Source organism: Homo sapiens, chromosome 19 (assembly GCF_000001405.40).
Source record: "Homo sapiens chromosome 19, GRCh38.p14 Primary Assembly".
Classification (NCBI taxonomy): domain Eukaryota; kingdom Metazoa; phylum Chordata; class Mammalia; order Primates; family Hominidae; genus Homo; species Homo sapiens.
Window position 1 is genome coordinate 1,430,615 of NC_000019.10, and position 15,615 is coordinate 1,446,229.

The following is a 15,615-nucleotide window of genomic DNA, read 5'->3' on the forward strand; positions in this document are numbered from 1 at the left end:
CAACCAGTTCTCACAGGCTCCTCAGGAGACAGAGCCTGGACTTCGTGTCTTAGCCTCATACTTCAGGATTAGGGGGGCATTTGTTTAAGGGTGTACAAGCTCTAATTGTTTTTTTTTTTTTTTTGAGATGGAGTTTCACTCTGTAGCCCAGGCTGGAGTGCAGTGGCGCAATCGCGGCTCACTGCAAGCTCCGCCTCCTGGGTTCACACCATTCTCCTGCCTCAGTCTCCCGAGTAGCTGGGACTACAGGCGCTCGCCACCACGCCCGGCTAATTTTTTTGTATTTTTAGTAGAGACGGGGTTTCACCATGTTAGCCAGGGTGGTCTCGATCTCCTGACCTTGTGATCCGCCTGCCTCGGCCTCCCAAAGTGCTGGGATTACAGGCGTGAGTGACTGCGCCCAGCCTCACAGGCTCTAATTCTTGACTAATTTTCCTGTACACGTCACTTGTAATTGAAAAGCTGAGTGTAAGATCAGCCGACACACCCAGAGTTTTATTTTATTTTATTTATTTATTTATGGTTTTTTTTTGAGATGGAGTCTCACTCTGTCGCCCAGGCTAGAGTGCAGTGGCGCCATCTCGGCTTACTGCAAGCTCCACCTCCTGGGTTCACGCCATTCTCCTACCTCAGTCTCCTGAGTAGCTGGGACTACAGGCGCCCACCACCACGCCTGGCTAATTTTTTTGTATTTTTAGTAGAGACAGGGTTTCACCGTGTTAGGCAGGATGGTCTCGATCTCCTGACCTCGTGATTCGCCCGCCTCGGCCTCCCAAAGCGCTGGGATTAGAAGCGTGAGCCACCGCGCCCGGACTATTTTATTTATTTTTTTGAGATGGAGTTTCACTTTTGTTGCCCAGGATTGAGTGCAGTGCCCCGATCTTGGCTCACTACAACCTCTGCCTCCTGGGTTCAAGCGACTCTCCTGCCTCAGTGTCCTGAGTAGCTGGGATTACAGGCGTCTGCCACCACGCCCGGCTAATTTTGTATTTTTAGTAGAGAACAGGTTTCACTATGTTGGTCAGGCTGGTCTTGAACTCCTGACCTCAGCGCATCCAGAATTTTAGACGGGGCCCCCAGGGTGAGGTCTTGGCACCCTCCAGTAGAGAAGAAGGGACATGGGCCATACGTGGGGTGTCCTTTCTGGGAGCCTTGCGTCCCTTACCTGCCTAGCCAGGGATTGCACCTCACAGCACGCAGCCAGCAGGAACGGCACCGTGATCTGATTTCACCTGCGGGCCCTGGGCCCTGGGGGTGTTTGACAATTGGGGCATATCACAGTGTGAGCTAGTCCCGTCTCGGGGGTTTGGAGGCTCCACGTGGCCGTGGTACAGGAGCAGGCAGTTCCATCCTCTGGCCTGGATCAGGCTCTGCACACGGAGGCCTGTGGGCCAGATGACTGACAGGAGGGGAGTTGGGTGGAACCTCGGCCTGCCTGATATCCAGCAACAGAGGGCAAGGGCGGCAGCACCTCCAGCATGACAGTCCCTTCCAAGCACGTCAGGATGCTCCCTTGCCTGTGCTGGCAGCTTCCTAAACATGGGGACTGGGCATGGTGGCAGGTTTTTGTCCTTCTGAAAGAGCAATTTTGCTGTGAGGTTACTTGCTCCTTGAGTTCTTGTCTGAGGCCCACCTGGCGGCTGCTCCGTGAGGAACGAGGTGGCCCTGCTGCAGCTCAGCATCCCGCCACGCTCCCAGGAGTGTGTGTTTCCTGGGGGGAGCGGCCCGGGACCGTGGCTCTGTGGTCCATTCTGTGGATGTCCACAAGGCCTGGGCGTTCTGTGGGTTTGGGTGGCAGTCCCGTCTGGGCAGCTCCTGCTGGGCTGGGTGTGGGTCTCCTGCTGGTCTGCCCCCAGCTGCACAACGTGTCTTGTGCCTTGCCCTCTTGTACCTCTGCAGGTTTTGGCTACGGGCCTCCACCTCCACCGCCAGATCAGTTTGCCCCTCCGGGGGTTCCTCCTCCACCAGCCACTCCCGGGGCAGCACCTCTGGCTTTCCCACCGCCTCCGTCTCAGGCTGCCCCGGACATGAGCAAGCCCCCGACAGCTCAGCCAGACTTCCCCTATGGTCAGTATGGTAAGTGGTCTCCTGCCATGCCGCGTCCCCGCTGGCCCCAGGACCCTGGGCACGGCCTGCCTTCTTCTGCTTCCTCCCCTGCTGGACGCTCCCCAGCCTTTACCTGGTGGGAAAGGGGAGAGGGAGGAGAGGGGGGTGTGGGGGTTGTTGGAGAGATCTCGTGGCAACTCGGGTCCAGCAGAAGGGAGCGTGGGAGTCTTGTCGCAGCAGAGCACTCGTCATACAGCAGGTGCTGCAGGGCCTGCATGTGTGGGAACCTGAGTGGCGACTGGGTCGAGGGAAGTGAGTCGCAGGCAGCTGTGATCACTGTCTAGAGGTTCAGGCCCTCGGTGTGGGTCCCGGGTGCACTGGCCCCTTGGTGGGTTCCAGTTTCTGGCGTCATCAGCCTCCTGCTGGGTCCAGACCCCGCTTGGGGCAGAAGCTGGGTCTGTAGTAGGCGTGGCCTGGACGTGGGCTTCACCCTGGACTGGATGGCTGTCGTGGCTTGGGTCTGCCTGGACGTGATCTGCAGGCAGCGCATGTGCTTCCGGGGCAGGAGCTTGTGGGGGGGCGGGGTCAGCATGGGTCAAGGTCTGCATGTCAGTAGTTCTCGCCCTGCACTGAGCCAGGAGTCACAGCAGCCTTGCTCAGGACCAACGCGGTGGCCTCAGTGGGCAGGGCTCCAACTACGGTCAGCTCCTCCAGCACCAGGGGTCATTCACAAGCAGGGTTTGAGAACATGGGGCACCTGTCTGCAGGTGGCCACGGGCTTCCGGGGTGCCTGTGAACACGCTTCCTCTAGGCCTGGTGGAGGCCGGGGTGTGGGAGCTGTGTTCGGCCGAGGTGCCCGCCCACCCACCTCGCATGGCTGTGGTTCCCCTGCCCCCACGCCCAGGCCTTGGGCCGAGGTTGCCGCATGTGTGGGTTCTTGACCCACTCACCACCAAACCCTGGCGTGTCTGAGACTGGCAGGGGGGTGTGAGGCGCCCGGTTGGGGCGTGGCGTGTGTCAGCCGCTGCTCTTGGTGGCGGCTGCTTGGGTTGGTCACCCTGGTCTCGTCTCTTGCCAGGCCTGGGTTCCTATTCTCCAGCCCCGCCGGGCTGCGGCCCACACTTTGTTTACAGTCTTATGGTCAGGCTGAGCAGTGATGTGGCCTAGGTAGGTGCCGCCTCCTTCTCCAGGGTCCTCCCACCCGCCTGCACCGGGAGGTGGACGTGGCTTCCTCTGCCGTCCCGGGCGGGGGTGGACGCTGGCGGTGCCCTCTGGGAAGGGGCCCTTGCCGGTGCCAAGACATTGGCCACAAGCCTTCAGCGGGCCCAGGATCCCCCAGAGAGAGCCCACGCCCACCTGTGCCCACGTGCACCCGAATGGGAACCCAGAGGTCGTGGGAGGGGCTTCCTGCAAGGTGTGCAGCGGGGTGGGGAGCGGCGTGAGCAGCTCTGTCCTTGTAAAGACACCGCTGTCCATGCTCCTGAGGTCGGCTGTGTGGGCCGGACGGGCTGCAGGGTGTGCTGGCCCCTCAGCCAGTGGTGTCACTGGGGCAGTCAGGTTGGGCCCAGAAACCCTTCCCTGACACGTGCCACCGATGGACGTGCCCTGACAGGAAGGACAACGTGGGGTCTGGTCTGCGACGGAGGGGCAGGCCCTGTATCGCTGCAAGGGCCCGTCAGGGGTTTTCTGAAACTCCGAGAGCCAGCTTTCTAGAAGCCTGGTCCACCGTGCCTTGGGCCATGTGTGTCTCCAAGCCCCGAGGCTTCTCTACCTCCCCTCACCCCCCCAACCACGTCTTCGGGATTGAACAGGGAAGCGGTGAGGTTACGTGGGCCATGGAGGGCTCTGGAAGCCGCTTTTCTCTGTGTGTGCCCCTGCTCACATGTTTTTGAGGGAGAGAACATGCCCGGGGTCCTCTCCCCGGCCCAGGTGCTGGCCTCAGAAGGGCCCCACCCGCACCCCGTGGGACCCGTGGACTCAAGGCAGGCTCGGCGGAGCTGTGTCCAGGTGGCCTCGCTCGACGGCAGTGCCAACCGCCCAGGGACCGCCCCGAGCTCACAGGACTTTCTCCCCCAGCAGGTTACGGGCAGGACTTGAGTGGCTTCGGACAGGGCTTCTCAGACCCCAGCCAGCAGCCTCCTTCCTACGGGGGTCCCTCCGTGCCAGGGTCGGGGGGCCCCCCCGCCGGCGGCAGCGGCTTTGGACGAGGGCAGAACCACAACGTGCAAGGGTTCCACCCCTACCGACGCTAGCCCGCGGCGCCGCGACGTCTGCACGGCCCAGACCCAGGATTCCAAACTTGTGAACTCGTGACAATCACAAACTTGGCGGCAAAGTGGCGACTCAACCTTGGGGGGGGGGGCGGGGGGAGGGCGCGAGGCTTTTGGAGCGGCTGTGGGTGTCGTCTGGACTGAGGTTTTTAAATATTTCTTTCTCTAACCCATCAGCACAATAAAAAAAAGTCACTGGTTCAACAACAGGGTTTAAAAAAAATGTCTTCAGCTTTAATTCAAAACTTCAGGTTTCTTTTTCTTCCTTTTTTTTGGAAATTATTTTCCTGAGCCTTTTGTTTTACGGTATATTGTAAACTTTTATGTTAAAGAAAAAATATACATTTACAAATTGTGAGATTTTTAAGAGAAATTTTCTACGATGTATACTGGCTTATTTTTTAATTTAAAACGGGGTTTCCGTCGGCACTGGTGGAGGGGGTGCGCTGTTAGTCCCCTCGCTCCTGGCTTTGGGGGTTGGGACTTGGTGGTCCAGAAACTCTGGGAGCTTCTAGAAGAAATCTACTGAGTGTATTTCTGTTTTTTGTTTAATTCCTTGCTTTTGTCGACTGACCTGCTTGGTAGTGTCTGAGGTGAACTGTGGGGGTTGCGCACAGCCAGCCGCGTGGATCCCACGCAGCGCTGAACCGAACCGAGTAGGAAGCCTTTCTCCCCAGGCACGTGGCTTCAGGGCGTTTCCCATTGACCAGTTTGACCCTGGTTTGAATAAAGAGAAGTGCGTTTGGATTAGAAACCACTTTGTGTCCGTTTTTTCCCTCCTTGGTCTTGGCCTGTGCCTACCCTTCCAGTGCCTAGGAAAGGTCTGAAACGCGACGGAGGCGCCCTCGCCCTCCCCTTGGCTCTTGGTGGTCTCAGCAACCCCGAGGGCTTCAGGGCAGAGGCTGAGTGGCGAGCTGGGCCCATCCCTCAGTGGGTCTTGGGATGCTGTGACTTTGAGGATGTGGCCACCACCAGTTTTCTCGGGGAATGTGGGCTCCAGGCTTTTCCCATCTCAAGACCTTTAATCATATCTTTTGCCATGGAAGGTGACATATCCCCAGGTTCTGGGGATTAGGACAGGGGCATCTTTGGAAAGGGATACTCTGTCACTGTGGCAGGGAAGGCGAGACTTAAAAAGGGCCGGGCGCGGTGGCTCACGACTGTAATCCCAGCACTTTGGGAGGCCGAGGCGGGCGGATCACCTGAGGTCGGGAGTTCGAGACCAGCCTGACCAACATGGAGAAACCCCGTCTCTACTAAAAATACAAAAATTAACCGGGTGTGGTGGTGCATGCCTGTAATCCCAGCTACTTGGGAGGCTGAGGCAGAAGAATCGCTTGAACCTGGGAGGCGGAGCTTGCAGTGAGCCGAGATTGCGCCATTGCACTCCAGCCTGGGCAACAAGAGCGAAACTCCGTCTCAAAAAACAAAACAAGAAAAAAAAAGGACCATGAAGTCCCAAACTGGAAGCCTACAGCGTGCCAGGCGTGAGACTGTTCAGGCGACAGCCAGAACCACCCCCCCCCGCCCCAGTTCATATTTTGGGGACAGGGAAGGTTTGACTTAGTTTGGAGAGAACCAAGAGAAGGGGTACCCCCAACATCCCTGTGCAGTGCAGTTTCCTCACTGAGACAGTACCCCTCAACGCCTCAGCCCAGGAAGCCAGCTCCATTCCCTGCCGTCAGAGCCTTCTCCCATGTCCTCAGGAGCTGCTGCCCCAGCTCCCAGGAGGGCCAGGCGGGGGCGGCTGTCTATCCACACCACAGGTCATCATGGTGTTGAGTGTCAGCCCCTCCCGTTACATTAGCTCCCCCAGCCAAAGAGCAGCACTCACAAAATCAGCTTTCCAGCCAGGACACTCTGCTGCAGGAAAATGGGTAACATGGACGGGCCCGACACATAGGTCCTGTGCTCCTCGGGACGGAGACTCAGCCCTCCCTGAGTACAGTGTAATTGGCTTCCCTTGGGACTGTGGGGACGGCTGGGGAGAGCTCAGCTCCCTGGACAGTGCCACAGCTAAGCTCGGGTTCCCAGAGGTTTTGTGCTTTTTTTTTTTCTTTTTCTTTTTTTTTTTTTTTTTTTTTTTTGAGAAGGAGTCTCTGTCGCCCAGGCTGGAGTGCAGTGGTGCGATCTCAGCTCACTGCAACCTCCGCCTCCCGGGTTCAAGCGGTTCTCCTGCCTCAGCCTCCCAAGGAGCTGGGATTACAGGCACCCACCACCACGCCTGGCTAATTTTTTGTATTTTTAGTAGAGTTAGGGTTGGTCAGCTTGGTCTTGAACTCTTGACCTCAGGTGATCCGCCCGCCTCGGCCTCCCAAAGTGCTGGAATTACAAGCATAAGCCACCACGCCCAGCCAGGTGCCACATCCATAGTTAATAGTCACCTTCAACTTTATACTTAATTCCAGTAAGATACAGAAACATCACTCCTAGGCCAGGCGCGGTGGCTCACGCCTGTAATCCCAGCACTTTGGGAGGCCAAAGCGGGTGGATCACCTGAGGTCAGGAGTTCGAGACCAACATGGCCTGGCCAACATGGAGAAACCGTGTCTTTACTAAAAATACAAAATTAGCCGGGCACGGTAACAGGTGCCTGTAATCCCAGCTACTTGGGAGGCTGAGGCAGGAGAATCGCTTGAACCCAGGAGGCAGAGGTTGCAGTGAGCCGAGATCACACCACTGCACTCCAGCCAGGGCAACAAGAGTGAAACTCTGTCTCAAAAAAAAAAAAAAGTCACTCCTACATAGTTCTAGTTACTCCTTCTCTTTGAGCTATCATTATTCACATTACATTTACATATCTTAACAAACCCAGTGATATTCCTAACTTTATTTTTGAGGCAGGGTCTTGCTCTGTCGCCCAGGCTGGAGTGCCGTTGGCGCGATCACGGCTCACTGCAGCCTTGACCTCCTGGGCTGAAGGCTCAGCCTCCCGAGTAGCTGGGAATTTTTTGTACTTTTTATTCTTTTATGTCCGTGTGTACACAAATTTTTGTATTTTTTTGTAGAGAGGCAGTCTCACTGTGTTGTCCTTACTAACTTTATATACAAAATTTTATCTGTTAAAGCCGGAATGGTTCTTTTCAGCGAGGCCCTGTCCCTGCTCCAGTATCTGTAATGAATTCTCGTGTTCCTCCCACAGTGGGACCTGAACCGCCAAACCGCACCTACGAGCAAACGGTAGGCGCTCCATAAATACTTGTTGATGTGGGTGCCATCGTGTAGATGACGGAGCACGAACCCGAGGCTCAGACAGGGGCGGCGACTTGTCCAAAGTCCCACTCCGTGGAGGAAGCGGCTCTGCAGACCTCAGGCGGCGGCTGCTCTAATCCCTGCAGCCTGTGTTTTGCCCTCCAGACGGCAGAGGGCGCGTGTTCGCCGCCGGGAAAGCGGAAGCGCGTGTGCGCGCACGGCCGAGGGGGCGGGACATGCCGGCAGTCTCGCGATAACTGCGCAGGCGCGGACCAAAGCGATCTCTTCTGAGGATCCGGCAAGATGGTGAGTGTTGCGATTTGGCGCGTCTCTGCCGGGCCTATCCGGCTCCATCCAACCTCTGACCGTCTCGCGGGGGCCGCAGTTCGTCCCCGCGGCTACGGCGGCTTGCTCCCGACCCTGCAGGCGGCTGGATGTTGGGGCGAGGGGCGGACTTGGTGGGTGTCGGGACGACGCGGGGCTGGGAAGGCCTGTCCGGGCCTTCATGTCCGGGTCCTCGTAACCCGGAGCCGCGAGTGATCCCCGGGGACGGGTCGAAGCGGTGTGTCCCTGTCGGGCTTCTGTCCCCGGCGGCGCCGCGCGTCTTCCGCGGTGTCCTCGGGCCCGGTGGCCCCGGGAGATGGGTGTCGGGATCCCGCTGACGCCCGATCCGCGCCCGCACAGGCAGAAGTAGAGCAGAAGAAGAAGCGGACCTTCCGCAAGTTCACCTACCGCGGCGTGGACCTCGACCAGCTGCTGGACATGTCCTAGTAAGGGCGGCCGCGGGGGTCGCGGGCAGGGGCTGGGCCAGCGGTGGGGCTTGTCCGGGTGAGGGCGGCGGGGCGGGGGTCCAAGCGCCTCTGCGGCGGTGGGCGGGCACGGTCTCCGCGCGGGTTTGGAACTGAGTGTGGTCTTGCGCCCAGAAAACTGTCCAGAGACGTTGAGGTTTTTGCTTATTTGCAACCTGCCCCCCGTTGTTCACTTTTCCGCGGCTTAGTTGGAAGGTGTAGCCCCTGTCTGTAGCCCACGTGACTTAGAATAAGGGGCTGCGTTAGACTCCTTAGATTTTAAGGGCGGTGGAGGTCGCTGGGTCCTTTCCAGGCAGGGTGGTGGTGGGCATCTGGCTTGCGCTTTTATTTTTTAATTTTTGATTATTTTGAGGCGGAGTCTCATCCTGTCGCCCAGGCTGGAGTGCAATGGCTCCGTCCCAGCTCACTGCAGCCTCCCACTCCCGGGTTCAAGCGATTCTCTTGCCTCAGCCTCTCGAGTAGCTGGGATTAGAGGGCCCCCCCACCACGTCCGGCTAATTTTTGTATTTTTAGTAGAGACGAGTTTCAGTGTTGCCCAGGCTGGTCTCAAACTCCTGACCTCAGGTGATCCACCTGCCTCGGCCTCCCAAAGTGCTGGGATTACAGGCGTGAACACCGCGCCCGACCTTGATTTTTGATTATTTGTGGAAACAGCGTTTCTCTGTGTCGTCCAGGTTGGTCTTGAACTCCTGGGCTCAAGCGACCCTCCCGCCTCAACCTCCCGAAGTGCTGGGATCACAGGCGGGAGCCACTGCGCCCTACCTGCCTTCCCCTGCGTTTTTAGAGGCCTTTGGCCCGAGCTGTACGCTGCAGCACCTTGTCTGAGGCTGTGGTCTCCGGGCCGCTTGTTCTCTCTGAATCTCTGCAGTCACACGGTGGCTCTTGCATGTGAGGGGTGAGTCGCGCATATCTGGCGGGGGTGCCAGAGGGACTTGGCGTGTTCATTGTAGTCACTACAATGGACAGTGACAGGTCCACTGCGGCTCTGTCCCTGGAGAGAACCAAGCCTTAGTTCTCTGTCCGCCGGAGTGCGTAGGGTCTCCCCAGGCCGGGCCGCTCACAAAACTGCCTGGTGCATCCTCCCCAGCGAGCAGCTGATGCAGCTGTACAGTGCGCGCCAGCGGCGGCGGCTGAACCGGGGCCTGCGGCGGAAGCAGCACTCCCTGCTGAAGCGCCTGCGCAAGGCCAAGAAGGAGGCGCCGCCCATGGAGAAGCCGGAAGTGGTGAAGACGCACCTGCGGGACATGATCATCCTACCCGAGATGGTGGGCAGCATGGTGGGCGTCTACAACGGCAAGACCTTCAACCAGGTGGAGATCAAGGTGTGTGCGGCCGTCCCTGCCGGCTGGGGTGGGCTGGGGTCGCCTGATGCAGGCGGGATCAGCTGACACCCAGCTTTGCTCTTGGTCTCCCGCAGCCCGAGATGATCGGCCACTACCTGGGCGAGTTCTCCATCACCTACAAGCCCGTAAAGCATGGCCGGCCCGGCATCGGGGCCACCCACTCCTCCCGCTTCATCCCTCTCAAGTAATGGCTCAGCTAATAAAGGCGCACATGACTCCAGTCCTTTGCGCAGCTTGTTCTTCCTGGCGTCCCGAGCTCTGGGAGGGGCCTGGGCCTGCTTCAGGTTCGTGGTGTGAGGAGGTTCAGGTTGGACGTTCGGGGGTGTGTGGTAGTGTTGTGTGGATGGTCTCTTGGTGTCGAAGACTGACAGCTGTGCGGGCCCTGCCCCAACTCGGCTGCCCCTGCTCCTGTCTGCAGGGACAGCTGTGGAGCTGGGTGCCCAAGCCCAGGTGTGTAGCTCCGTCCCTTTTGGCCCCCTCAGCGTTCTTGACCTCGGGGCAGCTGCCTGGCCTCACTCTGTCTTCTGGGTACCTCACGTAGAGGGGGCCACTCCTGGGCTAAGTGCAGCCCCTCAAGCCCTCACCTGGCCTGGGCTCTCCTTTCTGGCTTCCCTCATCTCCTGTGGAGGGTTCCCGCAGGAAGTGAAGCAGCAGCAGGAACCTTTGGGCCACCTGAGCCCCTCCCTTCTATCCTCACCCCTGCTTGGCTTCTTAGAAGCTCCTGACTCTCCTCCTGACACCACGCTGCTGGCATCTCCTCTCCCAGCAGGCTCCATGGCTGCAGCCAGCCCCATCCGCCCAGCCTGGGGCTTTGTGTCCGGGACAGAGCCGTGTCCCGTGGTTAGGCTGCACCATCCGTGGCCTGGCCAGCTCTGTCTCCTTTGCACAGAATGCTTGAAAGAACAGGACAAAGTGGCTGTGCCTGTGGGTGGGGGGCACCGTCCAGCCCTCCATGGGCTCTCTGATGGCCGTACGTGGGTTGGAGAACATGGTGAGAACTAACCCCGTTCAATGCTGGAGTCACCTCAGCCCAGAAGGTGGTAACTTTGCTCACTAAGCACCCAGCAGAGTGGCCCAGGGATGTGGGGTGGGCCTCCCCTTGGGCAGTGGACAGGAGGGTGAGAGCTCAGCCAGGCAGATGGGGGCAGGGGAGATGTGAGGAGCCCCACCTTCACCCTCAAATGGCCCACAACAGCCTCCTGTGGGCCCTCTTCTATAATGTTTCTCCACTTTTTTTTTTAAATTTGTTGCCCAGCCGGAGTGCAGTGGTGTGATCATGGCTCACTGCAGCCTAAATCTCATGGGCTCAGGTGATCTTCCCACTGCTTCCCAAAGTGCTGGGATCACAGGCATGAGACACTGCAGCTGGCTATATCTTCAAATTTAAACATGATTTGCAGCCAGGCGCGGTGGTTCACGTCTGTGATCCTAGCACTTTGGGAGGCCGAGATGGGTGGATCACCTGAGGTCAGGAGTTCGAGACCAGCCTGACCAACGTGGTAAAACCTTGTCTCTACTGAAAATACAAAAAAATTAGCCTAACTGGGCATGGTGGCATGCGGCTATAATCTCAGCTACTTGAGAGGCTGAAGCAGGAGAGTCACTTGAACCCAGGAGGCGGAAATCGCACTCTAGCCCGGGCAACAAGAGCTAGACTCTGCCTCAAAAAAAAAAAAAAAAAAAAACCATGATTTGCTCGTGTTCTTACCTCTCGATTTGGAATTAAGTTACATTACAGAGAAAGTGTGGGTCCGTGTTTTTCTCTCTGTTTGGGAAAAGGTGGGTTGGACAGAGGAAGGATGGCCCAGGGTTATAAGCTTGGCTCCAGTACAGCCGGGAGACCCCCAGGCAGCATGAGTCGGTGGGACTGGACCTGCCTGGCTGGTGTCCAGAGGGGCCCGTAGCCAGTGGGACGGTGCTGCACGTGGTCGTGCCTCAAGCCCTCCACTGCACCGGGCGCCCTGGCCAACCCTGCCAGGAAGTAAGGAGACCGGGGAGGCCACTGAGGGCCTGGACCTGGCTGGGTAGTCAGAAGTGGGGGCAAGTCTTGGCTGGCAGCCCCTGAGATGTGTAGAATGTTTGAAAATTCGCCTGTGGGTTGACCTGAACCCACCGGGCTTGAAACCAACGGTCCAAAGTTTGGAGTGTGGTCTTAAGGAAGGAGACCACTACTACTCCTGCTGCCTTCCTCCCACCACCTTGCCTAGTTCACAAGACAGGAGGAGAGAAAATGCAAAAAGTTGGAAAAAAAATGCAAAAGTAAGATAAACAGACAACCTTGGCACCACCACCCGGCCCTAGGAGTTAAAAAAAAAGTAATAATAACATCAACCACTGACCTAAACTACTTGTGTTATCTGTAAATTCCAGACACTACGAAAAAGCATTGTAAAACTTTCTGTTGTGTTAGCTGATGCATGCAGCCCCCACTCACGTTTTCCACACTTGCTTGATGTATCACGACCCTTTCACGTGGACCCCTTAAAGTTGTAAGCCTTTAAAAAGGCCAAGAATCTCTTTTTCGGGGAGCTTAAGACGCGAGTCTGCTGATGCTGCCGGCCGAATAAAAACCTCTTCTTTAATCCAGTGTCAGGAGTTTTGTCTGTGGCTCATCCTGCTACAGTCTGGCTGCTAGGTGGCCGCCGGAGGTCTCTGGGCAGCACTGGCCAGGTTCACTTCAGCGTGAACAGCAGAAGCTTGTACGGGACCCAGCTTCGAAGGCCCACCCCAGGTCCAGCTCAAGGAGAGGGAGGGAAGGCATGTGTAGGCAGGGTTCATTGTAGTCTCGGTTGTCAGCATTCAGAATTCTTTTTATTTTTTGAGACAGAGTCTCGCTCTGTCGCCCAGGTTGGAGTTGAGTGGCACGATCTCGGCTCACTGCAGCCTCCACCTCCCAGGTTAAAGCAATTCTCCTGCCTCAGCCTCCCGAGTAGCTGGGATTACAGAAGCACGCCACCACGCCTGGTTAATTTTTGTATTTTTAGTCGAGACAGGATTTCACCATGTTGGCCAGGCTGGTCTCCAATTCCCAACCTCAGGTGATCCGCCTTCCTCGGCCTCTGAAAGTGCTGTGCTCCAGCCTGGGCGACGGAGACTCCGCCTCAAAAAAAAAAAAAAAAAAAAAAGAAATTGCTGAGGTGTTAGGTGCTTTTCGCCTCAGATAAGCAAAGTGGGAAATTAGTGGATGTCCCACTGAAACAGCTTTATCTGCAACATGGTTTTCAACCCTGAGCCTTAGAAATCAAAAGTGCCGGAAACCATGGTGCACACTTGAAGTCTTTACCGAGGCCCCGTCTAAAAAAAACAAATGGAGCCGGGCGCGGTGGCTCACGCCTGTAATCCCAGCACTTTGGGAGGCCGAGGCGGGCGGATCACGAGGCCAGGAGATCAAGACCATCCTGGCTAACATGGTGAAACCCCATCTCTACTAAAAACACACACAAAAAATCAGCTGGGCGTGGTGGCGGGCGCCTGTAGTCCCAGCTACTGGAGAGGCTGAGGCGGGAGAATGGCGTGAACCCGGGAGGCGGAGCTTGCAGTGAGCCGAGATCGCGCCACTGCACTCCAGCCTGGGGGACAGAGCGAGACTCCGTCTCAAAAAAAGAAAAAAATAAATAAATGGAAATGACAGAGCTTTTGAGCTACCAGGTCTATCTGCAGAGCAAATGACACAGAGATGTGTGGGGCCGCGCCCATCATGAGGCAGCTAGCTGGGAACAAGCCCCAGGGGGCCCTCCCTGAGGAAAGCATAATAGGAATGGGTGCTGGGCCTCACTTCGCTTTTGCAGAGCTTTACTGGCACCCAGCTGTGCCCATTCATACCTGTATTACTTCTGCCAGGCAGACGCTGAAAATTTACTGTCTGGACCTTTACGGGAAGTTTCCTGTCCATAAAAGCCCTCCCTGCACACGCCCCTGCTGGCTAGCACGTGGCTGCTAATGGGTACTTCCCTTGGTTTTCTGCAGTTGGAATCCAGCATGTGTGATCAGGGAAAATATGTATTAGTATTTAAAGCAAAAAGATACCCCCAGTTCAGAGAGACACATGTCTTGGTGGCCAGGTGGTGCCCTAGGTCCACAAGAATTTGGGGGGTGTCCAGGAGGTGGGGTGGGAGCCTCTAACTAGCACTAGGGTGCCACTGTCGAGGGCCACTCCCAACTCAAGGCCCAGGCTCTGTCTTTAGGCCTCTCTGGCCATATCCGCACTTCTTTTTTTTTTTTTTTTTTTTTTTTCTGAGACGGAGTCTAGCTCTGCCGCCCAGGCTGGAGTGCACTGGCAGAATCTCAGCTCATTGCAACCTCCGCCTCCTGGGTTCAAGCGATTCTGCTCAGCCTCCCGACTAGCTGAGACTACAGGCATGCGCCAAGACGCCGGTTAATTTTTTGTATTTTTAGTATAGACGGGGTTTTGCCATGTTGGCCAGGCTGGTCTCGAACTCCTGACCTCAAGTGATCCACCCGCTTCGGCCTCCCAAAATGCTGGGATTACAGGCGGGAGCCACCGTGCCCGGCCCCACGCTTCTGTTTCTACCCTCTGGTCCCACACCCCGCTCCAGAATCTGCATGGACTCTCCCAGACCTGCCCGGCCCCATCTGTGCCGTCTCAGACAGACAGCTCCGTCCTCATCAGGTTCAGGTCTGGCCCCGGCGCTTGCGGGTCAGCTGCCTTCAGGCCCTGTCCTGGTTCCCGGCGCTTCTCACATCCCCGCGGCCTCCCCCCTGGACGGCAGTTTACACTGAACTCGGCGCCCTCCCCTGACTTCTGAAGGAGGAGTCCTGGGTGGCCCCGAAGCCTCCCCGGCAGCCGCACGGCTCCGTCCCCGCTCCAGGGTTCAGCTGAGGCACCTGCTGGAGGCGGCCTGTCCCCGCCGCCCTGCTAAAGCGGCGCCCCTTTCTCCGGCCGCTCGTTCTTTGGTTTCCAGGGACTTTGCACAATTCATAACACCCCTCTTAGCCCCCATCCTGCCCGGGCCGCATCTTCCGCCCGATCATCCGGCCCTCGACCCGCGCAGCCGCCTCCGCCCTCCTCTCCCGGCACCGCCCACGGCCTGTTCTCCCCGCAGCCGCCAGCGGGCGCCCGCGAGCCTGGAGCCGGGCGCGGCCCTGCTCTGTCCACAGCCCGCGGTGGCTCCCACCTCCCGCTGGGCCTGCGCGACCTGCCCCCCGGGGCCTCCCAGCCCTCACTGCCCTCGCGGGCTGCACTCTCCCCCAACACTCCCCAGGGCTGTTCGGCCTCCCCAGCAGCTCCCCATGCCCTGCCCGCCGCGCTGGCGTCTCTCCCAGCCCGCTGCAGTCCCCTCGTTCACGTCAGCTTCCCAAGGGCCTGGATTTTGTTTTGTTCAGTGCAGGGGGACCCAGCACACAGTAGGTGCTTTATAAATGCTTGTTGCATGAATGTCCGCGTTCGGTGTCGCCCCCTTACGGCGGCCCCCCGCGCGCCCAGCTCGGCGCCCAGCAAGCCTTGTGCGCGCAGGTGATGTTTGCTGAATGACTAATGAACCTCAGCGCGCCAAGCCGGGCTGATTCGGGGGTGGTTCCGAGCTTCCGCAGGGTGACCGTCCGCGGGCAGCGGACCACAGCCGCATGGCGACGCCGCCTCTGGCCCCCCGCGACCCCCATTCCCCGTGGGACCTCTCGTGCCCCCACCCCCACCCGGCCTCCTCCCCGCCGCCTCGGGCCCCCCCAGCCTCCTCCGCATTCGAACTCCCCAGCGTGGTCGGACCCGGACCCTGGCGCCGCTCGGCCCACGCGAGTCCCCTCCCCTCTCTCCCATCCTTGGATCTCCCACCGCCCCTCCGCAGCCTCGGTCCCGCGAGACTCCCCAGCCCCCGCGAGCACCCCCAGACCCCACGGTACGCCCTCGCCCCTTTCGGGAGGAGCCCCGCCCCGGGCCCGCGGACTGACCCCTCCCGCCCCTCTCCGCGCAGGCGCAGGGCGGCCCCGTTCGCGTCCCGC

General features: G+C 58.4%; 2 protein-coding genes across 18 annotated transcripts in view, besides 6 other annotated features; both read left to right on the plus strand.

Moving 5' to 3' along the window:
- Positions 1-5,070, plus strand: part of DAZAP1 (DAZ associated protein 1) — a 28,099-nt gene extending 23,029 nt beyond the window's left edge. For 8 of the 16 annotated variants that reach the window (NM_018959.4, NM_001352035.2, NM_001352033.2 and 5 more), the window contains 2 exons: positions 1,900-2,076; positions 4,123-5,070. In NM_018959.4, coding sequence (NP_061832.2) covers positions 1,900-2,076; positions 4,123-4,298 — 353 coding nt within the window. In that variant the 3' untranslated portion in view covers positions 4,299-5,070. Of the gene's footprint in view, positions 1-1,899; positions 2,077-3,124; positions 3,214-4,122 lie in introns of all 16 variants that reach the window. The other 8 variants (NM_001352034.2, XM_047438591.1, XM_011527905.3 and 5 more) reach the window with 3 other exon arrangements.
- Positions 3,647-4,150: an enhancer, noted in NCBI's record as "H3K27ac-H3K4me1 hESC enhancer chr19:1434260-1434763 (GRCh37/hg19 assembly coordinates)". NCBI's record gives its function as "activates a minimal SCP1, AML or CMV promoter by ChIP-STARR-seq in primed H9 embryonic stem cells {active_cell/tissue: H9 hESC(primed)}" and the evidence as "EXISTENCE:reporter gene assay evidence [ECO:0000049][PMID:30033119]".
- Positions 7,527-8,397: an enhancer, noted in NCBI's record as "NANOG-H3K27ac-H3K4me1 hESC enhancer chr19:1438140-1439010 (GRCh37/hg19 assembly coordinates)". NCBI's record gives its function as "activates a minimal SCP1, AML or CMV promoter by ChIP-STARR-seq in primed H9 embryonic stem cells {active_cell/tissue: H9 hESC(primed)}" and the evidence as "EXISTENCE:reporter gene assay evidence [ECO:0000049][PMID:30033119]".
- Positions 7,782-9,881, plus strand: RPS15 (ribosomal protein S15). Of its 2 annotated transcripts, none has more exons than NM_001308226.2 (4): positions 7,782-7,966; positions 8,193-8,278; positions 9,405-9,639; positions 9,735-9,881. In NM_001308226.2, exons 1-4 carry the CDS (start codon positions 7,943-7,945, stop codon positions 9,846-9,848), a joined length of 459 nt encoding a protein of 152 aa, NP_001295155.1. In that variant the 5' UTR covers positions 7,782-7,942; the 3' UTR covers positions 9,849-9,881. The 2 variants fall into 2 exon arrangements, with proteins under 2 accessions (NP_001295155.1, NP_001009.1); NM_001018.5 differs by having other exon boundaries at positions 7,782-7,814.
- Positions 7,806-8,025: an enhancer, noted in NCBI's record as "active region_13613". NCBI's record gives its function as "activates an Ori minimal core promoter by ATAC-STARR-seq in GM12878 lymphoblastoid cells {active_cell/tissue: GM12878}" and the evidence as "EXISTENCE:reporter gene assay evidence [ECO:0000049][PMID:35858748]".
- Positions 10,137-11,005: an enhancer, noted in NCBI's record as "H3K4me1 hESC enhancer chr19:1440750-1441618 (GRCh37/hg19 assembly coordinates)". NCBI's record gives its function as "activates a minimal SCP1, AML or CMV promoter by ChIP-STARR-seq in naive H9 embryonic stem cells {active_cell/tissue: H9 hESC(naive)}" and the evidence as "EXISTENCE:reporter gene assay evidence [ECO:0000049][PMID:30033119]".
- Positions 14,617-15,006: a silencer, noted in NCBI's record as "silent region_9711". NCBI's record gives its function as "represses an Ori minimal core promoter by ATAC-STARR-seq in GM12878 lymphoblastoid cells {active_cell/tissue: GM12878}" and the evidence as "EXISTENCE:reporter gene assay evidence [ECO:0000049][PMID:35858748]".
- Positions 15,057-15,156: a silencer, noted in NCBI's record as "silent region_9712". NCBI's record gives its function as "represses an Ori minimal core promoter by ATAC-STARR-seq in GM12878 lymphoblastoid cells {active_cell/tissue: GM12878}" and the evidence as "EXISTENCE:reporter gene assay evidence [ECO:0000049][PMID:35858748]".